Source organism: Homo sapiens, chromosome 11 (genome assembly GCF_000001405.40).
Source record: "Homo sapiens chromosome 11, GRCh38.p14 Primary Assembly".
Classification (NCBI taxonomy): domain Eukaryota; kingdom Metazoa; phylum Chordata; class Mammalia; order Primates; family Hominidae; genus Homo; species Homo sapiens.
This window is the reverse complement of record NC_000011.10, coordinates 1,837,949-1,862,542: the sequence shown is the minus strand read 5'-3', so window position 1 is coordinate 1,862,542 and position 24,594 is coordinate 1,837,949. Positions and strand designations below refer to the sequence as shown.

Here is a 24,594-nt window from a genome sequence, read left to right as displayed (position 1 = left end):
CTGCCTATTTCCTCCTTGCCTCCTGTTTTAACTTCTGGAGGAGTCCCAGCCACAGACAGCCAGGAATGAAATGTGGCCAAGGCATATTTTAGTTCAAAAGAAGGAAGAATATTCCCACAGGGAAAAGAGCTACCTTGGAATGGCAGGACTTCCCTGTCACTAGAGAATGATCATCTGTCAGAAATGCTGATGGATGGGAAGTGACAAGAACAGATATTTACATGTAGCGGCCAAGATTCATGGTTTTACAACTAGAGCATGTCCTGTGAGGGACAATATGGGAGAGTATTTGATGTCAACTCCACTGTTATGTGTGCGCTCATCCATTCACCCACTCATCCATCCATCTACTCATCCATCCATCTCTCTGTCCATCTCTCCATTCATCCATCAGTTCATCCATCCATTTTACCCATCCACCCACCCATCTATTCATCCATCCATTTATCCACTCATCCATGCATCCGTCCATCCACCCATCCACTCATCCATCCATTCATCCATCCATTCATCCATCCATCCATCCACTCATCCATCCATCCACCCATCCATTCACCCATCCATCTATTCATCCATCCATCTATCCATCCACCCATCCATCCACTCATCAATCCATCCATCCATCCATCCATCCATCCGTTCACCCATCCATCTATTCATCCATCTATCCATCCACCCATCCATCCATCCACTCATCAATCCATCCATCCATCCATCCATTCACCCATCCATCTATTCATCCATCCATCTATCCATCCACCCATCCATCCATCCACCCATCCACTCATCCACTCATCCACCAATCCATCCATCCATCCATCCATCCATCCATCCATCCATCCATCCACCCACCCATCCACCCATCCACCCATCTATCCATCCATCCATCCATTCACTTATCCATCTATTCACCTATCCATCCATCCATTTACCCATCCATTCATCCATCCATCCAACCATTCATCTATTTATCTATCCATTATCCATCTATCCATCCATTCATCCATGCATCTATCCATCCACCCATCCATCCATCCACCCATCTATCCATCCATCCATTCATTCATCCATCTGTCTATCCATCTGTCTCTCCATCCTTCCATATATTTATTCAATAAATCTGTACTGAATTCAGACACTTTGAAGGTGCTGGGGATTCAGCATTAACAAAGTCCCTGCTCTTATGATGATCATGTTTCAAGTGTGGGAACAAACACATAAATAAATAAAGGTCAGATGATGGAAAATATGACAGAAAATATAAATCAGGGTAAAGGCATATGGAGTTCTGGAGGGGATTGATATTTTACGTATGATAGCCTCATGGAAATAAGTAATTCTTTCCTTGGGTCTTTATATATGAAAGCCTCATGGAAAGAAGTAATTCTTTTCTTATTTGAAAAGAGATGAGAGAAATGGGAGGAAGTGTTCCTGGAAGAGAGTGCAAAATTCCTGATTTAGTAGTGTCTACTCACACATCCGTCTTTCTAATAGTTTACTCAGCACGGATTCAATTGTCTATTGATTCATTATCTATCTATCTTTCTACTCATCTCTTGTTATATCCACCCACGTATCCATCTATTCATCTATTATCCATATCCATCCATATGTCTACTTCTCCTGACATCCTTCTATTAATCTTTCCAATCATTTATATGTCCATATTCCAGCCATCCAATCATCCACCCATACATAATTCCATCTCATGTGTCCTTCCATCAATACATTCATTTACCCATTTATACACCCATTCATCCATCATCCATTCATCCATAAATCCACTCATCTTTTGTTTTGGTACATTTGCTCATTTAGCTGTTGGGCTGATGATCAGCCAATATGCACAGGTACAACACAGTTCAATATAGGAATATATATAATCAGCACCCATTCCAGTAGATTCATATTTGTACCACATGCTTTGTTAAATATTCTAAATATCACATCTGCATTTATCTATCCACCCATCCATTCGTTCTTTCATCCAAACATCCATATATACATACAGATGTTCTTCTGTCCATCCATCTATTTTTTGTTCATCTGCTCATTTGTTCATCCATTCATCAATTACTAAATAATTCTTTCTATTTATGCATGAGTTATACTCTATTTATACATGAGTCCATCCAACCCATTCATTCATCCACCCCATCCATCTGCCCATCCATTCACCCACCTGTCCATCGATCCATGCACCTATCCATCCACTCATCCCTCCATCCATCCACCCATCCATCCATCATTCAATTATCCATCCATCCATCATTCAATTATCCATCCATCCATCCATCCATTTGTTCCTACTTCCTATCATTCTTCATTCATCTTTCCATTCATTCATACTGTTCTCCATAATTGATTCTTTTCTAATCTTTATTTTTCCTTTCTTATGCAACTAAGACATGGTTCATAAGCTCATGGCCCAAGGATAAAGCAGACCACCATGGCCCAGGAGGCTGAACACCTCAATAGAGCCTAAGCAGGGGCTACAGGGGCAGGGATCTGTCTTCATATTGACACATTCTCATCATCCCCGACACATACCTGCGAATGTATGTTCACAGAGCAGCATCCCAGTGAAAGGTGCTTTGAGCACTGAGAGAGCCCATGGGGACAGGGGAGGTCAGGGTGGTGGCCTCATTGGCTCCCGAGTGATCCCTGGTGGATAAATGTCTGTGATTTAAAGAGGAGGCAGCCTCCAAATGCTTGCAGCATGCATCTGTTCAGTGTGGCCCTCTGTTCAAGCAGGCACTGCTGACAGCAGGAGAATGGGCCAGAGCCACGGGTAGGGGGCAGGGTGGTGGGTCATGGGTGCTGGGGGCTGGGGGCTGGGGGCTGGGGGCTGGAGGCTGGGTGGTGAATGGTGGGTGCTGGGTGGTGGTGATGAAGCTCAGATTTTGGTTGGGACTGGGTCTAAGAGAAAGGCTAAAGGATTATTTCTAGATTCATCTGGAACGAATTGGCTAGATCCTTCTATCCCAAGTCCCATTGCTTTTCTGAGGGGAGGTACCTGGGACAGGAGGAGGAGGCAGCCTTGCCTCAGAAACCAAACTGTCAAAAGTGTAGGTTCCACTCAGGAAGGAGGAGCACAGGCACTTTTGAGATGAGGGGGACGTGCTCTTCTCTGGAGCAGAAAGAAGCAGTAGGTGAGGTCCCACCTGCCAGGGATGGAGCAGGAGAGTGACCCCTGCATAACCTTGAATCCTCATCTGCAGCCCATGAGCAGCTGGAGACTGGGGACTCTGGGAAGGGTACTGGGCTTAGAAGCCACCCCCTGCCCCAGTGGACAGAGTATCCTGGACACCTCAGCCACTCTCCCTGAGCGTGTGGTGTGTGTAGAGGCCCCTGCGTCTATACCACTGCTCCCAGGGAAACTGGGAACCCAGGAAGTATGCTGGAACCCTTCATGCTGTGACCTACAAATGCCCCACCAGAGCGGCCCTGCTCCAAGCACTGAGGTCAGGGGCCCATGTGCCTGCCTCCTCCTGCCGGGGGATACAGGGGACTCAGAGGCCCTCCCTGCCACAAACTCCCTTCCCCGACAACCCACAAGCAGCTTGGAGGCAGTTAGCAGATGGAGTTAGGATAGGACTTGCCTGGCCCCAAGAAAGGGCCAGGGGCTTTCCTCCTGCCACCCCTGCTCAGCATCTCCCTCCTCCCTTGTCTGCCTGTGTCTGGCACTGGTGGGGCCGTGCTGGGTGGGACACGGCTAGGAGGCCTGGCTTTCTCAATCCCCTAATCTCCTATCAACCCCACCCCCATGCAGCCCCTCCAACCTCTTTTCAGGTCCCTAGATGTTGGGGAGGGGATGGGGGCTGGGCCGGCTGTAGAGAGTCTAACCCTGGGGAAGGGGCCCTGCTGGGCTGCCCCCTGGCCGAGCCTCTCCAGCCCGCTCGCTTCCCTCTCTTCTAAGTATCAATACAGCCTCGTCCACAGCCAGGGCCTGGTTCTGTCTGCCTCAGCGCATGTGGAAAGCCCTCTTCGATTGCCTTATGGTCCTGGGCTGCCATCTCCCAGAAGGTCTTTAGTGGCCCCCAAAAAGATGCTGAGGGCTGGGATTTGGGCGGGGCTGGGCTGGAGGGAAGTGGAGGACCTTGCTGGTCCTGCAGCGCCCGGTCCCAGTTCCGCTTTTCGGGACGGTCCCTTTAAGTGCTTGCTGAGCTTGGGCCATGAGCAGTGCTCTGGTGCTCTTGGGAGCCTTTGAGTCCAGAGTGGCTGGTGTGTGGTGTGGGGTCAGAGAGACCCCGGGAAGGGCAGCCCAGCCCAGCTCCCTCCTGGTGCCCGCAGGTCTTGTGGGCCCTCAGCACCCGAACCCCACAGGGGCAAGGACTCAGGCCCCTCCCCAGGCAGGGAGCAGCCCTTGGACAATGCACTTGGCCCCTGTGAGCCTCGGTTTCCGTCTGTGAAATGGGAGGCTCCAGGGACCTGCCTCACAGCTCCGGGGGATGAAACAAGAGCCTTGGTTTAAAAAGCTTGGCAAAGGCAGGGCGCGGTGGTTCATGCTTGTAATCCCAGGACTTTGGGAGGCTGGGGCGGGTGGATCACCTGAGGTCAGGAGTTCAAGACCAGCCTGGCCAACATGGTGAAAGCCTCTTCTCTACTAAAAATACAAAAATTAGCCGGGGGCAGTGGCAGGTGCCTGTAATCCCAGCTACTCAGGAGGCTGAGGTGGGAGAATCTCTTGAACCTGGAGGGCGGAGGTTCCAGTGAGCCGAGATTGTGTCACTGCACTACAGTCTGGGCAACAGAGCGAGACTCTGTCTCAAATAAATAAATAAATAGCTTGGCAAAGACTGGCATGGAGTGAACGCTTGGTCTGAGTGGCTACATTCTGAGTGTGCAGATGGGGAAACTGAGGCTTCAGAGGGGTGCGGCTTACTCATCCAGAAAGCACTCCGAGGGCCTATAGCAGCCGAAGCAAGGCCAGCCCTGGGGCCTTGCAGCCCATCCCCCTCCCGCCGCCCCAGCAGTGGGATCTCAGGGGCTGGGACTGCAAGGCAGAGCTCACGCCCCCACCCCTCACCAGGCTGAGGACTCAGAGCGGGAGACCACTGGGCCCTTTCCACTGCCAACACCCTCCTCTTCTCTAGGGCTCACCCATCCCTCTGGCACGTTCTCAGGGAACTGAGGTGGAGACAGGCTGGCCCGTAGGGTAGCGGAGCAGAGGCCCACCATCCTGCCACCCCAGGGTGTCACCGGCCAGGGCCTGTCCCAGCTGGACCCCAGACCCTCCTGGCACTGCCCTTGTGTGGCTCCAGGATTGTTTTAGGAGACACGAGGGAACCAGGAAGGGGGCGCAGGAAGAAAGGATTCTGGCTTCCAGAATCAGCGGGGGTGGGGCCTGTGATGCTCCCACTTGTGCGACCAGCCCAGCTGGGTGTCGGTGGACAGCAGCGCCTGCCAGCCCACGAGGAAGAAGACATCCTTCTGCTTCCCTGGGAAACTTCCAGATGCCTCAGACCCCTTACCCAGGGCAGGAGGAAGGGGACCTCCCCAGGGATCCTGGGTCCAGACATCAGGTCTTGACCACAGGAAGGTGTAGGGAGGGAGCCCCAGGGCTTAGCCCTCAATCCTAACCTCCCTCAGCAGCCCCTGTGGGGCTAGGGCTGGGGCTGAGGTGGCTTCCCCAACTGTCCCCAGCTCTGCCCTCTTTCCTGAGCAGTCGTGGGCACCGCTGGGGGCTCTCAGGGCCACCTGCCCCAGCGTGGAGCATTGCACATCCTCCAGGTGGTGCCTGGCCTTGGCTCGGAGGGCAGGTGGGCGGGAGGGCTGCCCAAGGGCCTGGCTGCCTGGGGGGTTCCATCCCATGGGCTCCTGCTGCTCAGATGAAGACTTCCAGGGGGCTGCCGGGGGCCTCCAGCCCCTTCCTCCTTCAGAATCTGGAGCTCTGAGGGTCTCCAGGGACAGATGGCCAGAAGGAACCCTGCCAGAGCAGCCCCTCAGGTCATCCCTGCCCTTCCCAACTCAGCTCAGCACACAGAGAAGCGAGGGAGGCTCCGATGGGCCAGGCGGGGCTCCAGGACTGGCCCTGTCCATGGCAGGTGCTGCCAGAGCCCTGGGCAGCGGCCTCCCACCGCGGGCTGGGCAGGCCTTTGAAGGTCTGCAGAGGAGCAGGGCGGTTGGGTGATGCTAGGAGGGGCATGTGCCAGGGCTCTGACACCTTCCAAAACTGGGAAGAGCTGGGAAAGCTGGTGGGATGGGAAGTGAGTTCAACCAGGCCAGGAGGGCCTGGCATGGCCACCCAGGGGCATGGAGTTTGCCTGTAGCTGGTGAATGGTTCTTTCCGTGGGAGACACGGCCTGGTCGCTCATGGGGAACAGACTGGGGGTAGGGTCATCCTGATGGGGGCCTGGGCTACACAGGGGCAGACTGAGAGGGCAGCCAGGGTGTCTGTGGGACAGGGTGGCGGCAGGCAGACTTGCCTTCTAGGTGTGGACATGGGGTGGGCACGCCTGGGCGGGTGGGCACCCCCGGGCAGCTGGGCCAAGGACAGGCACTGCAGCCAAAAATGCAGTGTGACCCCAGGGAGGGTACACCCCTGCAGAGCTGGGCTCCAACATCTGGATATGTCGAACCCAAGGTCTGAGAGGGCAACCTGACCCTCCCCAGCTGTGGACCAGGACGCCCCGTCCTCATCGCCTCAAGGCCTCCAAGGCCAGATAGTTCCTCAGTGTGGGGAGAGCCTTGCTCTTGGGGGCTATAGAGGGCAGGCATCCCCCAGCGTCACCAGAGAGTCCCCCCAGAGCCACAAGGCAGCTCTGTGAAATCCTCGTCCCTGCCCCCAAGGGACAAGGACAAGCTAGTGACTGTCTGCTGGACAGCGGGGCGAGACAGGAGTGCCCCCGAGTGGAGGAACCGCAGTCCAGCCTGGCTGGTAGCCGAAGCGGAGCCTGGACCCCGCCCAGGGTCAGGGGACCTTCTTTGGCCTGAGGCCTCGTGGGAGAGGACAGTCCTGTCCTGGGGGCATCTGAGAGACCACATCATGGAGGGGTGGTTCTGAGGAATCTGGCCCCGTCCCGGGCAGTCTGAGGGGAGGGGCCACATCATGCGACAGTCTGAGGGGCTGGACCCACTTGTCCAGCTGGAGGGGCTTGGCCTGCCCTGGACCTAGTGTTGAGGGCATGTCCTGAGACCGTCACAGGCTGGCGTACCTGGCACTCTGTGACATGCACGGGGGGCTGTCTTGTCCACTGCTCCAGCCCCAGCTGAGCCTGCCCAGCCTGGGCCTTCCTGGGGACTCCCGTGTGGGGGCTTCCCAGGCCATACATCCCTGCCTGGGTGCAGGGGACTTCTGTCCCATCCTAGACAGGAAACTCCCCGGTTCCCTTAGTCACCTTGTGAAATGAGAAGCCTACCCCACTGGGGCTCTCAGTTTCATTCTGAAAGGTCAGGCTTGGCTGCGCACCCCATGCAATTCGCGGGGGCAGGGGATGTCCAAGGAGGGGGTCCAGGCTTTGCAGAGCCCAGGAGAACCGCCGCTCTCCAGCTGGAGCGCCTGACAGCCCCGGCACAGGTGCAGCCCTGGCCTCCCAGGATCTGCACCAAGATGCCCCAGGATCATCTGTGCCTTGGCCATGCCCGCTCCAACCCCCCCTCCCCGCTCCTGGCCCGGGGGATCCAGGGCATTTGAGACAGCTGGGAGGGGGTGGCCAAGGATGAGGCCAAGGAGGAAGGCGGGGGTGCCCCAGCCCAGAGGCTCATGTCCTGCCCTTCTATGGGCATGAGGTGACCAGGAGCAGCACCTAGTCCAGGGCTGGGGGTGGTGCTGACAGGAGGGCCCGTTTTGCAGCTGGGACACAGCTGTTGTGCACCCAGAAGCCTGTCTCCCTGCACACGGCCTGGGCAGGGCATCCTCCCACCTCTCCCTGGGGACAGGCACGGACGTCCCGACCCAGCCCTCAGCCAGCCCCGGCCTCTGCTTAGCCTCCACTCCACTCACGGCACTCGGGGTCCCTTCAGTGGCCCCCCGCACCTGTACCCAAGTGGGATTTGGCAGCAAGAAGTCAGAGATGCAGACCCCTCACACATACCAGACCCACAGCAATGTGACGGCCACCAAGGACACAGACACAGGACAGTGACTGCAGCCACCAACAGCACAGGAGCTTTGTGTGAAGGCCGGGAGGTGGTCCCTGCACCGCCCCGGGTCGGGTAGACCGGGACCCTCTGCTGTCAGCACCAAGGCAGAGACTGGTAGCAGCCCTGGCTGCAGTTTTGGGGTATGTGAGCGTCACCCTGGGCCTCCTCTCAGGTCCGTCCTGTGTGGCTGCGGGCATCACACTCTTTCTGCAACCTGGGCCCCAGCGCCTTCCCTTCCGCACACCAGGCCACAGCCCCCGCTGACCTGCTCCTAGGCCGGCCTCTATCCCCAGCACCGGATCCCCATCCCCTGACCATTAGCACGTCGCCCCTCTGCCCCTCAAAGCCCTACCTGTCCCTGCACCGCACGCCCTGAGCCCTCCCATCTCTTCTGGGACCTGCACCGGGGGCAACTCGGGTTCCCCTGGCGAGGCTCAGCTGTGATGCCTGGATGCCTGCTGGCCGGCAGCTCCCCTCTGCCAGGGAGCCCAGTTACTAAGCCGCTAGCCCTCTCCACCCACCCCAGCACAGGGCTGGATGCCCATTGGTACCACAGAGTACAGCTGCCCGCTAGGAGGCCTTTGGCAGCGGGGTTTTTCTGCCCAGCTCTGGCAGTCCTACACACAACCTCTGCCATGCCCCCTCATGTCCCCACTCCAACCAACACACGGTGCCTGGCACCCAGCACAGGCACCTGCCAGAATCCTTGGCCTTGTCCTTTACCGCAGGTCAAGGGCAGCTTTGGGTGCCCTGCCCTGAGGCCTGCTGGGCCCCAAGCCTGGCGGCCTCCAGACCCTCAAGGCAGGATAGCCCCTCTCAGATAGTCCTGTGGGCAGGTGGCCAGGCCCGGGCCAGTTCCACCCATCCCAGAACAGCTGCTCCCCAGCCCCCACCTTGCCTCTTCCCAAGCTAACAGGGCCCACAGTCCCCAGCTCCTCCCTGGCAGTCCAGGACACGTCTTGGGGTCTCCTCGCTTCAGGCATCCACCATGGGCTTAGGATCCCACGCGCCTCCCCCAGTGAGTCCAGGGCACAGAGGCAGGCGGAAGAGACCTCCACCCTTGTTGTGAGAGGGGGGTCCCAGCAAGACTTCCTGCCACCTGTCTGTGGGTCCCCAGTTTCCCCATCGGACATCCAAGTTCTCCCATTGGGGGCCCCAGATTCCCCATCAGGCACCTCAGTTCTCCACCCTCCATGCAGCTCAAGGACTATGCACCCGTGGACACGGCACAGGGCGCCGGGCGTCGCCGCAGACCCTTACCCCAGCAACTCTTCCCGCTCCTCGGCACCCGGGTCACTCGAAGCCTCCGCCATCAGCCTGTAGTCTGGGCCCCACAGGGTGCTGGCAGATCCCTGGAGTGGGTGTACGTGCTGTGGCTTTCAGTGCTTTCTGGGGCGGCTTCTGAGCCCCCACCCCCAGCCGAGTTTCACTTCCCCCTTCCGGCTGCAGGTTGAGGTTTGGAACCTGTCTCGGCTTGGGTCAGGGTGTTGTTTTTTAATCTGTTGCTACAAGAGGAGAGGAAGAAAAAAAAAAAAACCCAAACCACCCCTCAGGAAGCGTTAAGCAAGTTACAGGGGCCTGGGGTGACAGAGACGGGGTGCGAGGGCCAAGATGGCCGCAGGCAGCTCTTCATGGCTCGGGGAGGGGGACCCATGTTACCCCTGGTCCCCGCTAGTAGCTCTGGCCATCAGGTCCACCTGTGAGTGGCCAGTTCTCCTGCAGCATCAGGGACAAACACGTCTGTGATCCCATAAGCACCACGTGAGCGTTTTAGCTTCTTTGGGTGAAATCTACCCAGAGGCCGGCTCTCCTACAGGTGCTCATGGAACTTGGTGGAGTCTTTTCTCGAAGCCTGGGGTCATAGCCTTGAGCACATCAAACAGCTGTGGGTCCCAGGTGGCTTTGGGGGCTGTGCCCGGGATGCCCCTGCGTTCTACCCGTCGGGTGCCTTGTTCTGTCTTGGACTGCCTTGCTGATGCCGAGCTGTCGGGCATCCGCCTCGTCCCCCCGCTGCCCCTTGCTCTCCGTGCTCTGGTCGCTGGAGTTGACCACCGAGTGGTTCGTGTCCCCAGGCTCTAAAGGCAGTGCCTCAGGGACCCTCCCAAGAGGCATAGGCCAGCCCGAGGGGAGGGATGGAGGCTGTTTCCAGCCCTCACTGTCCCCAGCTTCTGGGAGTGACCACGCAGTGGCTCCAGGGTCAGGAGGAGGGATGCATGACTGCAGGAGCCAGACCCCAAAAGCTGAGGCAGGGGAGGACTTAAGCTGGGCCAGAGTAGGGCAGCCACAGAGGTGGCGAAGGCTTCCCTGCTGGAAACCTCAGCGCAGGAGAATGGGAGAAGGGAGCCCTGGCCAGCGGCTGGGCCTGAGAAATCCAACCAGCAAGGACTTACAGGGGGTCCCAAGGCAAAGAGGGGCTGGAGAGAGGCCAGGGGTTGGGAGGGCCCTGGGCCCAGAGTGTTGACCCATCAGGGTGGGGCCGAACCGGAGGCCGCCTCCTTGGGACTCAGCGAGCCCCCCACCCACCAAACACACCACAAAGACCAGCAGAGGCTTTCAGAGCCCCACGAGTGGAGGCACCAGAGGGATCCGTGGCCCAGACGATGGGCAGGGCTAAAACCAGATCAGGCCCAGCGCCATGGAGATGAACAGGCCATGCCTGTGTCTTCCCCACGCCTCCTCCCTGGGGGTCCCTAAGGGCCCCCAAGTCCCCCTTGCAGAGTGGCACATGGCAGAGCCCTGCGGTTCTCACCATGCGGCCTCCATCCTGAGGCCATCCTGAAACGGCTCCCCTCATGGTGGTAGGGTCTCGCCTCCAGGTTGCAGCCATTCCGCTCACCCACCCGTCCAGGCACTGCATCGGCAGGTGCAATGCCTGTGTCCTCCTGCCCTTGAGGTCCTTCCCTTGGCCTGCAGAAGGGCAGCCCCAGCATCGTCGCTGGGAGCTTCAGGAACCTTGCCAGGAAGAGGACAGGCAGGTGGAGGCTGGGGTCCACCCCCTCCTGCCCTCTACTGCCCGAAGGCTGGACCGGCTGCCTCACTTTTGGAGCTAGAGCAAAATGAGAATGCAGAACCCTGTGGTTCAAAAACTGAGAATTTTGGCCGGGTGCGGTGGCTCACACCTGTAATCCCAGCACTTTGGGAGCCCGAGGCAGGTGGATCACTTGAGGTCAGGAGTTTGACACCAGCCTGGCCAACATGGTGAAACCCCATCTCTACTAAAAATATAAAAATCAGCCAGGCGTGGTGGCGGGCGGCTGTAAGCCCAGCTACTCGGGAAGCTGAGGTAGGAGAATCGCTTGAACTTGGGAGGCGGAGTTTGCGGTGAGCCAAGATCGTGCCACTGCACTTCAGCCTGGGCGACAGAGCTAGACTCCATCTCAAACAAAACAAAACAAAAACAAAAAAACCCTAAGAATTTCAAGAGGGAGACACAGAGCACAAAACCACACTCAGCCCCAGGTCTACGAAGCCGCTCGGGCGGAGGGGGAGGCCCACAGGCCCTGGAGCTGAAGGCTGGGGTGACGATCGGCCTGCCCCAAGGGCTTGGAGAGTGTGCCCTCCTCCCCTCTGCCTACCCAACCCTGTTGAAGCTGAATCATGCCCCTCACCCACATTCATATGGTGAAGTTCTAACCCTACCCCTAGCCTAACCCCTCAGAGCGTGACCGTGTTTGGAAGCGGAGTTGCTTCAGGTGTCATTAGCTGGATGAGGTCACGGTGGAGGAGGGTGACCGCTCAGCCAGTGTGACTGGTTTCCTTACAAAAAGAGGAAATGTGAGCCAGGCACGGTGGCTCACGCCTGCAATCCCAGCATTTTGGGAGGCCGAGGCGGGCAGATCACGAGCTCAGGAGATCAAGACCATCCTGGCTAACACGGTGGAACCCCATCTCTACTAAAAATACAAAAAAAAAAAAAATTAGCCGGGCATGGTGGCATGTGCCTATAGTCTCAGCTACTTGGGAGGCTGAGGAAGGAGAATGGCGTGAACCCGGGAGGCGGATATTGCAGTGAGCTGAGATCATGCCACTGCACTCCAGCCTGGGTGACAGAGTGAGACTCTGTCTCAAAAAAAAAAAAAAAAAAAAAGAGGAAATGTGGACACGGGACACAGACACCCACGGTGGGGAGCTCCCCATGAGAAGACAGTGGAGATGAGGGTGAGGCATCCACAAGACAGTTGCACCAAGGGGCACCGGGACCCCCAGCAGTGGGAGAGGCCTCAGGAGAACCAGTCCTGCCCACCCCAGGATCTCGGACTTCCAGAATGTGGGAGCTCAACGTCACGGCAGCCACAGGGCAGCAGGACAACCCCTCCAGCGACACGTCTCACAAGCAGGCCACGGCGTGGGGGAGCCCTGCCTGTTCTCAAGGAACCCAGGCCGAGGAATAGGCACACTCCAGGATGCTCACGGGGCTCTGGGAGGCCTTCTCAGCAGATGTACGCCCTCACCTCCCGAATCGCAGAGGAAAGGGAAGCCAGGGTGCAGGGTGTCCTCCTGTGGCCGTCCAGCCCTCTCTCCTGCCCACATCACCGTCGTGGAGAAGGCAGACTCTTGCTCTCTCACTCAGCTACTCCTCCGCAGACGCCAGGGCCATCTTGCGGCCCATCCACCTTCCTCCCGGTCCCCCAGCCTCTCCTCCCTACACCCTCCACGTTGATGTGCAAATCACTCAACCTTTTCACAAAAAAACAAAAGCAAAGAGCATCCCGGAGGCTGCCCAGCCCATGTGGCCGCCCGCTTCTCACTCCTTCCCTCCCTGGCCAAGCCCCTGCCTCCAGCCCTTCTCTCCACTCAGCCTGGACTGGCAGGCGTGGGCAAGGGAGGAGGTGTCCCCAGTGAGGGCCCAGCCACCCCTCAGGCCGTCCGGGCATTTCTGTGTGTGTGTGTGTGTGTGTGTGTGCGCACGAGCGTGTGTGACAGGGTCTTGCTCTGTCACCCAGGCTGGAGTGCAGTGGTGCAACCAGGGCTTACTGCAGCCTCTACCTCCTCGGCTCAAGTGATCCTCCCGCCTCAGCCTCCCAAATAACTGGGATCACAGGTACATACCACCACGCCCAGCTAATTAAAAAATTTTTTGTGTGTACAGATGGGGTCTCACCATGTTTCCCAGGCTGGTCTTGAACTCCTGGGCTCAAACCATCCTCCTGTCTCAGCCTCCCATAGTGCTGGGAGTACAAGCATGAACCACTGCACCCGGGCAGTGCATGCGTGTTTGAGAACGGTGTGGGCCTTGCTGGGTGGGAGGTTAAACAGGAACAGAGCCTTCCTCTGAAGAGCTAAGAGTCTACCCAAGAATCAGATGCAGAATCATTTCTTCCCTCAGTGCCTGAAACTCTAAGGGAGGTGTGTGGAGGGCAGACCCCGGCCCCTCCGTTGTCCTGTCTCCAAATCTGGTGCAGGGTCCAGCGAGCAGCACGGGGACCAGCAAGCGGCTGCATCAGGTGATGAGTTAGTTTGGATTCTGGGATGGAGCCAGCTGAGGGCATCAGATTCCGGGGGATGGAGCCAAGCAGGGAAGCCTTGAGGGGTGAGCCAGGAGGAGCTCTGTGCCAGGCGGGCAGGACACAGGGACACTCCAGGTGCAGAGGCCACAAGGCAGATGTCTGAGAGGTGCAGACCTGGATTTGAGGGGAGAAGCCGGGGGTTGGGACCTGTGTAGCAGGCTGGAGGTGCGTGTAGAAGTCCCAGCCGAGCAGGGAGAGGCCTGGGCAGGAGATGCTGTGTGCTGGCACCATGGGCTGGAAAGGACGTCCCGCAGTACAGGCCATCCCGCAGCGCCCCTCCCTGGCAAATCACTCTGTGGGCACACGCAGGTGCTGGAGGGGTTTGCTGTGGGGAGCAAAGCTGGGGGCTGTGCCCTCTCCCTGCACGCGAGCTGGGGTCACTCGGCCCCTTTCCTTCCACTGGCCGTGGCCACTGGTGAGCTTGGGAATCTGGCCCAGGAGTGAAGAGAGTGAGGAAGAGAAGCTCTCAACGGGGACAGAGACAGACAGGAAAGGGGCAGGGAAGGCTTCGAGGGGGCCGGGTGGATCGGAGGGATGCCAGGAGAGGGCAGTGACCAGACAGCTGCCCCTAGCAGAGCGGACAGGCCAGGCGGGGTGGGGAGGCAGTACTGGGGGAGCCCAGGGTTCAGGGCCAGCTGAGAGTGGAAGAAGCTCTCCAGCAGGCGCAAAGAGACATGGGCCAGGTCAGAGAAGATGGGCGTCGGTCGGCACAAAAGGCCTTGGGTCGGAGAGCTTGGCTATTTATTTTGTTTGCTTTTAGTTTTTACTTTATTTTTTTTTTTTAATTTGTAGAGATAGGGTTTTGCTATGTTGCCCAGGCTGGTCTCAAACTCCTGGCCTCAAGTGATCCGCCCACCTTGGTCTTCCCAAATCCTGAGATTACAGGCGTGAGTCATCAGCCTGGCCTTCTTCTTCTTTTTTTCTTTCTTTAAATTCTCAAAGCTTTTATTTTTTGAGATGGAGTCTTGCTCTGCTGCCCAGGATGGAGTGCAGAGGCGTGATCTGGGCTGACTGCAACCTCTGCCTCCCGGGCTCAAGCAGTCCTCTTGCCTCAGCCTAGCTCTACCTCCCTAGCTGGGACCACAGACATACACCACCACACCCGGTTAATTTTCATATTGTTTTGTAGAGACACTTTGTTGCCCAGGCTGGTCCCGAACTCCTGAGCTCGAGGCTCCCCACGCAGCCTCCCAAAGTGCTGGGATTAAAGGTGTGAGCCACCACACCTGGCCTTCATTTTTTTTTGTCTCTCTCCCTTTGAAAATCTTTAGAGCTTGGTGTTGTCTCCACTATTTGGCGGCGTCAGAGTGACCGGGGCCTTCACTCATGAGAAGCTCAACCTGCAGCGACAGCAGGGCCGGCTGGGACCTGCAGGCGGGGAGCTGATCTGAGAGCCGTGAAGGGCCTCGCTGTGGACATGTGCTCCGGGGGGCACGGGACGCTTCGTGAGAGGGCGGTGACAATTGCTGGGTTCTGCCCCGATGGCCTCTGGTTTGAGGTGGGGGGCCCAGGTGATTTGGGGTGTGAGTGAGAGATTTTGGGGAGCTTGGTGGGGGGGGCGGAGGGGAGGATCAGAAGGAGGAAGCTCGTGGAAACCGTGCCTGGCCCAATGCCGCGCTGATTCTCGGCGGCCTGCCGGAGGGGCAGCCGCAGAGACTGGAGCCTGCCAGGACGCAGGCCTTCCCGATGGCTCGAGGAGGGGACAGGGAGTCAGGAGCAGCTTGGCAAGGAGGGGGAGCAATGGGAGATGACAGGGGGTGGTGAGGAGGTAGGGGTGACTGGGGCCAGGGGAGGGAGAGGCCCTGGGGCCAGGCTGTGCTTGTCGAGGCGGCGGAGGTGCTTGCAGGAGGGCAGGAGCAACAAGGGGATCGGGGGGTTTCCAGCGTGGTCACGGCCAGCCCCGCACAACGGGGAACACTGGCTGCCAGAGGACTCCAGTGTACATGGTGGCCCCAGCGTCTTGTAGGGACTGTTAGACAATCCTCATGCAGACCCGTGTCCCCGTCCTGAGGTCCCGTCACAGGTGTATGCCTCGCCCCAGCAGCACTGACACAGCTGCAAATAACTCCAGGTCCCTGACTTCGTGGATTTTCCCTCCCAGAGGAAGAGACGGACAGTGAACAAATGAAAAAACAAGTCCATGGTCATTCTGGAAAATAACCAGGAGAAGTCACAGAGATGGCTGGGGGACTCACGGAGGGCTTCACGGAGGAGGTGACCATGCTGGAACTGAAGGGTGTGAAGGAGATGGCCACAGGGAGAGTGGGGAGAAGCTTCCAGGCCTGGGGCAGAGGCAGGCTTGGTGGTCCTGGTGTGATATTCAGCAGCTGGGTGGTCCAGGGCGCCGAGCCAGGCCTTGCTGGGGCTGGGGGAGAGTCGGGCTGACTCTGGGGGGCACATAGGAGAGGAGTTTAGGGAGGCAGGAGGTGCCAGCTGGGTCCCTGCCTACCTGGTGGTCCAGTGAGGCAGGCGCTCTCATCTCCATGTTCATTGTACATCTGGGTAAACTAAGGCTGGGCAGCCCACTGGGGTGGAGTGGGGGCTGAGCCACAGAGGCAGCTCTAACCCTGGGCTCCAGGGCTGTCTGGGGAGAGCCGGAGCCGGAGGAGTGGGGGTGGTGAGGCCCTGGCAAGCGCCGGACTCAGCTTTCCAAGGATGGCTGGAGCCAGGCACCGGCCTGCAAAGGTGGGTCTGGGCCCAGGCACAGCCGGTGCCAGGGGAACAAAAAGGACACAGGGCTGCACAGGTCAGGGGTGAGGTGCAGCTGGAGAGAGAGGGTGAAGCCCAGCCCTGATCCGGGGGCCCCTCGGTGGAGGCCCAGGGAACCCCTGAGGACCACACAGGGGGTCCAGCAGGTGGACATTCATGGGGGAACTCTGTGTCCCCCTCTGGGACCCCACTCCTGGCTTCCCCTTGATCGAGTGCGTGAGGGGGTGAAGGTCAGGGGGAAGCCCCCTCTGAGTCCAGCCCTGCGGAGAGAATGAAGCCCCGTGACCTGCCTCATCCTAGCTCCACCCAGCGCCCAGCATGGCCAGGGCACCGGGCCTCCCTCCTGCAGTCCCTGAAAGGCAACTTTCCAGCCTTGGATCCCTGGCCCTAACCCTAACCCTAACCCTAACCAAGGTGTCCCCGGGGGCCTGGCACCCAGCCCCGCCCTCGGCCCTCAGCCAGGGGCACACACACAGTCCTCAGCCTCCTCCACCACCCCGAAGTCCCCCACACCCTCTGGGGCACCTTTCTGCCCACACCTGAGCCCTGTGAGGTCCTCTCTGTTAACTTGTGGTATTTTTCATGTCATCTGTTTTTGTTGTCGCTTACGAATTGTATTGCTTTAACGTTCAAAGAAAAGTTTAGCTTTGGGGGAAGTCATTTCAAACCCACAGAGAAGTTTCAAGAATAAGAATTTGACAAGGTGCCTCTGTACCCCCCTCACCCAGGGCACATGTCCACTTTGCCATTCGACCCCTGCCTCTCCGCCTCTCAGCCTCTCTGTTTCTCTGAGCCTCTGTCTCTTTCTCTCTGCTTCTGTCCGTGTCTCTCTGCCTCTGTGTCTTTGTCTCTCTGCTTCTCTGTCTCTGCCTCTGTCTGTGTCTCTCTGCCTCTGTGCCTTTGTCTCTCTGCTTCTCTGTCTCTGCCTCTGCCTCTCTGCCTCTGTGCCTCTGTGTCTGTCTTTATGTCTCTTGTCTCTCTGTCTCTGTCTCTCTCTCTGCCTCTGTCTCTGTCTCTCTGCCTCTCTGCCTCTGTGTCTCTGTGTCCCTCTGTCTCTTGCCCTCTCTCTGCCTCTTTGTCTCTCTTTGTGTTTCTCTCTATGTGTTTCTGTGTCTCTCCATCTCTCTGTCTTTCTCTGTGTGTCTCTCTGTCTCTGTCTCTGTGTCCCTCTGTCTGTCTCTGTCTCCATGTCTCTCTGTGTCTCTGTCTCTGTGTCTCTGTCTCTGTCTCTCTGTCTCTGTCTCTGTGTCTCTGTCTCTGTGTCTCTCTGTCTCTGTTTGTCTCTGTCTCTGTCTCTCTGCCTCTGTCTCTCTGTCTCTCTGTCTCCCTCCTTTCCTCCTGAAGATTTTAAGGTCTGTTTCCTTGGAATGCAGATGTTGTTTTGTGTAACTATGAACTTGAGCACATTTACCGCGGACACTGCTTGTTATCTTGTCTGCCGGTCTGTGTCCTGATGGCCGCTCCCATCAGCGGGGGCACAGGGCAGGCCCTCTGCGTCACCACGGCCTCCTAGCAGAAAGGACATGTCAGGCTCTTCCTGCACGTTTCCTGCCCCACCCTGCAGTCAACCTCTCTTCCGAGGAGCCCTGGGTCCTTCAGGGGAGGACGGTTTTAGGGAGCAGAGCCTGGGGCCCGGTTTGCTCCTGGACACTGGGGTGTCTGCATGTCAGTGGCTCAGCGGCAGAGCAGGAAACACCCGCGTGTGCAGAAGCACCCACCTCTGCCTCCCCCGAGGAACCCCTGCCTTCTGTCTCCAGCAGCCGCAACTTCCAGGGGTGCCCCGTGCACTTCCTCCCACCCCTCCCTCCTTGGCCCGCTGTGCCCAGTCTTCCCCAACCCCTTCCTGGCCACAGCCCAGCACGGGTTACCTGGGACTTCAGAGGCCATGTCCTCCCCGACCTCCAGAGCCACGCACAGGGCTGCCCACAACCCCTGCCCTGGGCCTGTCCCCCTCCTCTTCCGGGACTCCCCTGGGGCTCATGGTGCCTGCCCCGGCTGCCCTGGCTGTCCCTACCCTCCCCCTCGTCTCCTCTCGCCCTGGCCTTAGGCACCTCTGCCCATCGGCTCACCACCCAGGACACCCACATCCACATCTCCAGCCCAGCCCCTGCTCCAGCTGCCTGGGCCAGGTCTCCCCTCGGAATTTCCACAGGGCCCCCAAACCCAGCAGCCCCAAAGTGAGTGCCTCACCTCCTCCCAAGGCCACTTTCTCACGGCTCCTGCCCTGGAGAACAGTCTCTGCCCACCCGTGCCCCCAGCAAGGTGCCTGCCTTCCTCATGTCCCTCAGCCAACAAGTCCTGGGGACCCGGCCCCTTCCACGTCTCCATTCCTCACCCCCCAACCCAGCGGTGACTTCCGCTGTGCTCCACCCTGCTGAGGCCTTTCTAGAATGCAGAGCTGGGGGACAGCCCCATGGGGTACTGGCTGCAGGCCTCACTTCCAGCAGGGACACCAGAATCACCCGAGAGGGACGGAGCCGGGCTCAGAGGGGCGCCGGTTTGATATTTGCTGGTTTGCTTTCCGCAGGCCTCTCACTTACTCCTTCATTTACTCATTCACTCATCTATTGGAAATTTAACAAACACCCGTGCATCTACTATCCAGCCCAAGAATTAAAACATCCCCCAAACCTGCATCAGCGTAGGGGTCCTGTCTCCATTCTGCCCCTGCTCTGCCCCCACCCCACTCACCCCAGAGGGTCACTCTTTGGAATTTCGTGTTTGTGTTCAACATTTCCTTGCTTTGAAATAAAAAAGATAATTTTCCCACACAGCGTGTCTGCCCCGGCCAAGTTGAATCTTGTGGTTGGCAGCCAGGTGTGATGCGCCTGCCCCAACTCCTCTGCCACACCCCCCTGACGCCCTGTGGGATTGGGTCCCGCCCCCTTTCCCAGTAGGCACAGGCTCTGGAAAGGTGCCATGTCCCCTGCAAGGGGTCCATGGCCAGGCCCCACCGCCGCCTGTCCCTCGCTCTGCCTGTTGCCTGCCTGGCTCTGCATGGGACGTGCTCCAGCCTGCAGCACCCTCTGCCTCCACACTTGTCCTCCCTCAGGTCTCAGCTGAGGCTTGGGCTTGGGCAGCTTCCCCCCGACAGGCCAGGTCTCGGGCCTCACTTCTGTGCCTCATGGCCTCCTACACCCTGGGCCTTGCCTGGTCCCATCATTCTGGCATGGGGTGCCATGCACCTCTGCCACAGCTGCACCCACCAGGCAGTGCCCCCTTGGCCCCAAGCTGCCCTGCTCGGTGCCTTCCCCTACAGAAGGCTAAAGGAGAAGGCCCGGGTGGGGGGTTCGGACTGGCGTGGGGCTCCAGCTACAGAAAAGGTCAGAGCTGAGTGCCAGGGCTGTAGGGTACCCGGGAAGCAGGGGACTGCACACAGCCAAGGCCGTCCCGGGAGCCCACTGACGTCAGTCCCTCAAGGCAGCCCGAGGCGGAACTGCCGCTGCACGTCCACCTCCGGCAGATCAATCGATGGGACCTCCCGGGGGCAAGGGCACAGCGCAGGCTGGCAGCCTCCCCAGCGCAGATCTGAGCACAGGGACCTTGGCGTGCCTGCTCTGTCAGCCTTCAAAGAGCAGGGCTGATAACGTGGCCTTGCTGTCACCGGCCTTGTCAGAACCTGTCAGCTGCCTTGTCCTTGGTGGCCAGATGGGGCTGGGTCTTGGGGCTGAGTGGAAACGAGACTTGGGAGCCACACTGGAGCCAGGTCAGGGCCAGGCCTAGCCCCTGCCTGATGGGCACAGGTCTCTTGGTCCCCTGGCATGGTGAGGAGTGACACAGCCTGCCTTTCAGGGTGGCAGTAAGGACCAGAGACCAGGCTGGCCAACCCCCAGCACCATGCTGGTCCCCAGCCCGGAGACTGCCAATTTGGCCTGGTCATGGCCCACCGTGCAGGCTCGCCCCTCCACGCTCCCCGTGCCCAGCCTCAGTGCTCAGGGCAGGGGGCAGATAGGAAAAGCAGGGAGGCCCCGGGGCTGGGGGTCTGTCCCAAAGTGATGTGGGAGGGGGATGAGCAGGAGGATCTGGGGGTGGGCACGCGTGGACAGCAGCCTGGGGTCTAATGTGGCCCTTGGCTTCCTGCCTCAGATGAGCTCCCTGAGGAGGGGCAGCTTGGGAGGCATAGGGGGCTGCCCCCAGCACTGCGGGGGCCACACGTGTGTCACATGTGTGGATCTCTCTGGAGCCCCGGGAGGGCCTTTGCGTGGCTGTGCAAATGTGAGACCCACTTATCTCAGGAACTCCCACCCAGACCTGGCTCGGTCCCACAGCCTCCATCCCCAGCCCTGCATGTTGGATGTGCCCAGGCCGAGCCCCAGGAACGCCTGGGGCACTATCAGGGCCCTCACCAAACAGCCCCGTGCAGCCTGGGGTGGATTCCCCTGTAGGGGCCTTCCCAGGCTCACCTCCTTGCTGGAAGCAGCTTCCCTCCCAACCTGAAATCCCAGGCCCCGTGTGGCCTCCTCCCAGGCTTTCCCCGCTGGCCACTGACCACACTGCAGGCCACCGATGCGGGGGCCCAGAGCATGGCCCAAGAGGCTGGGGAGAGCCAGACCAGACCAGCCATGGGGATTCAAATCCTTTATTGACGGTGGTGGTGAGGCCAGCCCTCCCTGGCAGGCTCTGGGTGCATCTCCCTAGTATGTTCTGCTGGGAGCCGGGCACCGGGGCAGGCGTAGGGGCAGCGAGTGGCCTAGGACTCGGACTCAAACATCTTCTTCCGGCCCTCCATGCCAGACTTCTCCTCGATGTTCTTCCTCCAGTCACCCACGTCTCGCAGGTCCCGCTCCTGTGGAGGAGAGGGCAGGAGAGAGCTCAGGCTCACCCACTTATGCACGCACCCTGGTCCACACCACCTTCAGCCTCAGTTTACCCTCTGCATTGGGCAGTGGAGTGTCCCCTGCATGGCACCCTGGAGGGGCAGTGGTACAGGGCCCCCGGCAGGGCAGGTGTGGGAGGTGGTCCCCAGGCGGGGCAGGTGTGGGAGGTGCTTCCCCGGCAGGGTAGGTGTGGTGGTGCTCCCCCCGTGGCACGCACCTTCTCTGTGTCCTCCTTCTTGACCTGCTTCAGGTTGGCCCTCAGGTCCATGCACACCTTGTGCTTCGAGCCCAGCAGGGCCTTGAGCATGGCATCGGCCGACATGCGCACCCTCCGCAGTGGGGGCCGCTTGAACTTGCCCCGCAGATCAAATAGCTTCTGGTTCATGTCCTCCAGCTGTGGGCAGGGGAGCCGGGTGGGAGCCCGAGGTCCCGGTGGTCTCGGCCTCCCCGGCCCGCCCCGCCTGCCCGCTGGGCCACCGCCTACCCGCCTGCCGCCGGCCCGCCGCCACCACTCACCTCCTTGCTGGTCTTCTGCACCCTCACCTCCATGTCGTACTTCTCCTCTTCAGCCGCATCGATCTTGGCGTGCAGCTGTTTGCAGAGCTCCTAGGGGTGGGTGTGGGGGCGGGCGGCCGTCCTGACACTTGGCAGCCACGGTCACCTGCCCCTGCCCTGACCACCCCACTGGCCCTCTTGACAAGTGGGGAAACTGAGTTAGCAGGCAGGCCTGCTGCTGGGGAGGCGGGGTGGCCGGGGAGGGGCTGGTACCTGCACTTCAGACATGGAGCCCGGGATATGCAGCGGCGGGCAGTGCTCCGCCAGGTAGTTCTGCTTCTCTGCCTCACGGCGGCTCTCCTCCTTCTCCAGCTCCGTGGCCGCTATCTGCAGCATCACACTCTGCGGTGGGGCAGGCGGTGAGGGGCTGCAGCCAGCTCCCCTGCAGACCCACCTGGGCCACCCCCCCGGGAGCCCACACCTACCTTCAGGTGCTGCCTGCGGGCCGTGATGGCCCTGTTCCGCTTCTGCAGGGCAGGGGACAGGGGGTCGAGTCAGGGCCTCCAGGCCTGGAGCACCCCCACCCCCTTCCACGCTCCCTGGCCAGGTCAGGGGCTCCGGCTCCGGGACCAGCAGAGCCTGGGGGCTCCTGAGGCCATGATGGGCAGGCTGGGCCTCCCTGGCCCCAGACCTTGCACTGGGACATGGTGCTGTGTGGTGTGTGACACTTTGCCAGGTGGCACATGGTGCTGGGAGGCCAGAGGCTGGGGGAGAGGAGGGCCAGTTGGGGGCAGGTCGGCCGGTGAGGTGGGGGCGGGAAGTGCAGGAATCAGAAAGAAGAAGTGATTCCCCTGTGACCAGGCCACAGCCACACTTCCCCTGCCCCAGAAGGCTTGGGGCAGCCACTTCCTCTCTTTCAGCAGCGTCTTGGTGGGTGGGTGGGGCACTTTTGCCAGCGGGGAGGGCCAGGCCATCTTCTCTGGGCCTTAGGGCCTTGAGGCTGTGACCTATGACCTATGCTGAGTTGGGGGAGCCCCCTCCTCGTCATGTTTTGAGCCCCCAGCAACTACTTACCTCCTCACTGTCCAGGGAGGGAGGACGCAGGCAGGACGGGGAGAGAAGACAGAGGTTAGGGCCATGGCTGGCGGGGTCGGAGTGTGTGATGGGGTGGACAGGGCAGGAGGTGGGCAGGGTCACTGTATGGGGGTACAGGGGTACCACTTACTCTCCCATCCTGAGGTCCTGAGCTTGGAGCCTGTGGGGAGAGGAAGACAGAGGTGTTGGCCAGGCCCTTGCCACCGTGATGCCTGTGCCCATCAGGTAGGTGGTGAGGGGTTCAGGGCTCCTGATGACAGCCCCCTCCCGCCCACCCCCTACTCTCACCTCCTCCCCCTACTCTCACCTCCTTCAAGGACAATGTCTTGGAATTCCCCAGGGTGAGAAGTAAGAGGAGAAAGTGTTCCCAAAATGTCCCAGGCATAGCCTGAGGAGCTGCAGCTGTCCCCGAGGGAGGGTGGGATGGGCCAGCGCAGGTGGCCGCCTGAGTGACGCTGTTATTTTTAACCCTCTCTCTTTGGCTTTGGGCCTAAGTGCATGGAAGAAATCCCTCCTCAGTTTGGCCTGGGGGCTCAGGTTCTGGGGCTTCTTGACCCCTAAACTCTCCTTCCAGGGTCCCCAGAGGTGAAGCCTGGTGGTCAGGGAGTGTCTAATACCTGCCTCTCGCTACAGCTGCCTCCCCAAAGCCTCTCCTTCTCACTCCCGGACCCGTGCAGGCCCCAAAGGGGGCTGCTGGTGGCATCCCCCAGGCCCCCAGACCCCCGCCCCAGGAAGTCCTCCCTCAAACCAGCTCGAGCCACGCCCTGTCCCCCGGCCTCGGCGGGCCGGGCTGGGCCTCACCTAGAATCTGGGCAGCAGGGCTGGGAGCGAGGTCAGGCCGGCAGCGGCGAGTTGGGCTGGTGGGCCCAGGGGGAGGGGTATAAATGGCCTCCCCCAGGCTGGGCCCCTGCTCAGAAAGGGCATAGAGTCCTCCTCAGACCAATGGGGGCGTGGAGAGCCACAGAGACCTCCCCACCTGTCCGGCCGCCTGGCCTGGCCGCGTGCTGCCGCCCAGTCCAAGAAGTCTTGGTGGGGGGTGCCGTGGCTGGGCTACTCTATTTAGGGCTCGGTGACGCGCTGGAGATGCCTCTGTCGTTCTCGTAAGGAGCCTGAGGACAGTGTCCCTGGCTTTGCCTGTGGCCTCAGCCGGGCACACAGCTCGGGTCAGCTGAGGGGTAGCTGCGAGTATCCACACCTCGCCTCAGCCCATCTCACCCGAGGTCAGCGTCCAGTCCACCAACCTGGCTGCTTGCTGGCGACAGCCACAGCCTCTCCCTGCGGGGCCAGCTCCCCGGCTCAGCCCCTGCAATGGGTTTCCCACTTCAGCCCAGGCCTGACCCCCTTCTGCAAGCCTGGCTTCTGGGGTGAGGCCTGGACCTCCAGATGTGGCCTTCTGGGCCCTGCCACAGTGGCCGAGGGCTGGGGGCTGCCCCCTCCCTGCGTGATGCTATCTTCCTGCCTGGGGAGCAGGACCAGGAGTGAGGGGCACGCCGCACGTGCCTCTGGGCCCCTCCCGCCTGCCCAGAACGCCCTGCTGCAGTCCCCTTGCCGGGCGACTTGGAACACATCCTTCAACCTAAGGAGAATGGCGCCACCTGCATTGGGAGCCTCTCACACCCGTGGGGGCTTGGGGCCCTCCTGGCTGCCCGGGCAGGCCTGGCATTGCCCTTTTCACCCAGGCCCGAGGCCATCGCCCCCCCAGCCCCCAGGCCCCCGCCCTGCAGAGGTCCCCTGGACCGTGACTTGGCACCCTCTCGGAGTGGGGGCTCTTGGCCCCAGCCCTGCCGGCTTCGCAGCCCCGTGGGGAGGATCAGAGGAGACAGCAGCGTGGAGGCCCCAGCCGCTAAGGCAGCCCAGATGTGTGGGGACTGGGAGGGGCATCCGGC

At 59.9% G+C, this 24,594-nt stretch overlaps 2 protein-coding genes, 1 long non-coding RNA gene and 1 other non-coding gene across 6 annotated transcripts in view, besides 7 other annotated features; 1 reads left to right on the top strand and 3 right to left on the bottom strand.

The window, feature by feature from the left end:
* Positions 1-9,459, bottom strand: part of LSP1 (lymphocyte specific protein 1) — a 39,180-nt gene extending 29,721 nt beyond the window's left edge. Inside the window, exon 1 of the mRNA NM_002339.3 lies at positions 9,346-9,459. Coding sequence (NP_002330.1) covers positions 9,346-9,398 — 53 coding nt within the window. The 5' untranslated portion in view covers positions 9,399-9,459. The remainder of the gene's footprint in view (positions 1-9,345) is intronic.
* On the top strand, positions 3,007-3,079 carry MIR4298 (microRNA 4298). Its single transcript, NR_036185.1, has one exon. It is a non-coding gene; the product is annotated as a microRNA 4298 (primary transcript).
* Positions 7,088-7,517: an enhancer, noted in NCBI's record as "active region_4293". NCBI's record gives its function as "activates an Ori minimal core promoter by ATAC-STARR-seq in GM12878 lymphoblastoid cells {active_cell/tissue: GM12878}" and the evidence as "EXISTENCE:reporter gene assay evidence [ECO:0000049][PMID:35858748]".
* Positions 9,368-9,687: an enhancer, noted in NCBI's record as "active region_4292". NCBI's record gives its function as "activates an Ori minimal core promoter by ATAC-STARR-seq in GM12878 lymphoblastoid cells {active_cell/tissue: GM12878}" and the evidence as "EXISTENCE:reporter gene assay evidence [ECO:0000049][PMID:35858748]".
* Positions 10,679-10,728: an enhancer, noted in NCBI's record as "active region_4291". NCBI's record gives its function as "activates an Ori minimal core promoter by ATAC-STARR-seq in GM12878 lymphoblastoid cells {active_cell/tissue: GM12878}" and the evidence as "EXISTENCE:reporter gene assay evidence [ECO:0000049][PMID:35858748]".
* Positions 12,075-13,061: an enhancer, noted in NCBI's record as "H3K4me1 hESC enhancer chr11:1870712-1871698 (GRCh37/hg19 assembly coordinates)". NCBI's record gives its function as "activates a minimal SCP1, AML or CMV promoter by ChIP-STARR-seq in naive H9 embryonic stem cells {active_cell/tissue: H9 hESC(naive)}" and the evidence as "EXISTENCE:reporter gene assay evidence [ECO:0000049][PMID:30033119]".
* Positions 14,796-18,206, bottom strand: LOC107984299 (uncharacterized). The gene is made up of 3 exons (XR_001748095.2): positions 18,170-18,206; positions 17,713-17,810; positions 14,796-15,979 (listed from the first exon to the last, which is right to left on the bottom strand). It is a non-coding gene; the product is annotated as an uncharacterized LOC107984299 (long non-coding RNA).
* Positions 17,824-17,923: an enhancer, noted in NCBI's record as "active region_4290". NCBI's record gives its function as "activates an Ori minimal core promoter by ATAC-STARR-seq in GM12878 lymphoblastoid cells {active_cell/tissue: GM12878}" and the evidence as "EXISTENCE:reporter gene assay evidence [ECO:0000049][PMID:35858748]".
* TNNI2 (troponin I2, fast skeletal type) lies at positions 20,865-23,562 on the bottom strand. Of its 3 annotated transcripts, none has more exons than NM_003282.4 (8): positions 23,510-23,562; positions 22,839-22,868; positions 22,688-22,694; positions 22,099-22,140; positions 21,887-22,015; positions 21,635-21,724; positions 21,336-21,512; positions 20,865-21,087 (listed from the first exon to the last, which is right to left on the bottom strand). In NM_003282.4, the coding sequence occupies exons 2-8, from the start codon at positions 22,844-22,846 to the stop codon at positions 20,992-20,994; spliced, it is 549 nt and encodes a 182-aa protein (NP_003273.1). In that variant the 5' UTR covers positions 22,847-22,868; positions 23,510-23,562; the 3' UTR covers positions 20,865-20,991. The 3 variants fall into 3 exon arrangements, with proteins under 3 accessions (NP_003273.1, NP_001139301.1, NP_001139313.1); NM_001145829.2 differs by lacking the exon at positions 23,510-23,562 and adding an exon at positions 23,016-23,074; NM_001145841.2 differs by lacking the exons at positions 22,688-22,694; positions 22,839-22,868; positions 23,510-23,562 and adding an exon at positions 22,305-22,336.
* Positions 22,127-22,246: a silencer, noted in NCBI's record as "silent region_3063". NCBI's record gives its function as "represses an Ori minimal core promoter by ATAC-STARR-seq in GM12878 lymphoblastoid cells {active_cell/tissue: GM12878}" and the evidence as "EXISTENCE:reporter gene assay evidence [ECO:0000049][PMID:35858748]".
* Positions 22,287-22,406: a silencer, noted in NCBI's record as "silent region_3062". NCBI's record gives its function as "represses an Ori minimal core promoter by ATAC-STARR-seq in GM12878 lymphoblastoid cells {active_cell/tissue: GM12878}" and the evidence as "EXISTENCE:reporter gene assay evidence [ECO:0000049][PMID:35858748]".

Excerpts from the sequence above, each read along its gene's own strand:
- TNNI2 (NM_003282.4), bottom strand. Across the intron at positions 22,016-22,098 it reads CCCGCAGGCAGCACCTGAAG|AGTGTGATGCTGCAGATAGC; the intron begins GTAGGTGTGGGC and ends GCCCCACCGCAG. Across the intron at positions 21,725-21,886 it reads GCTCCATGTCTGAAGTGCAG|GAGCTCTGCAAACAGCTGCA; the intron begins GTACCAGCCCCT and ends ACCCACCCCTAG.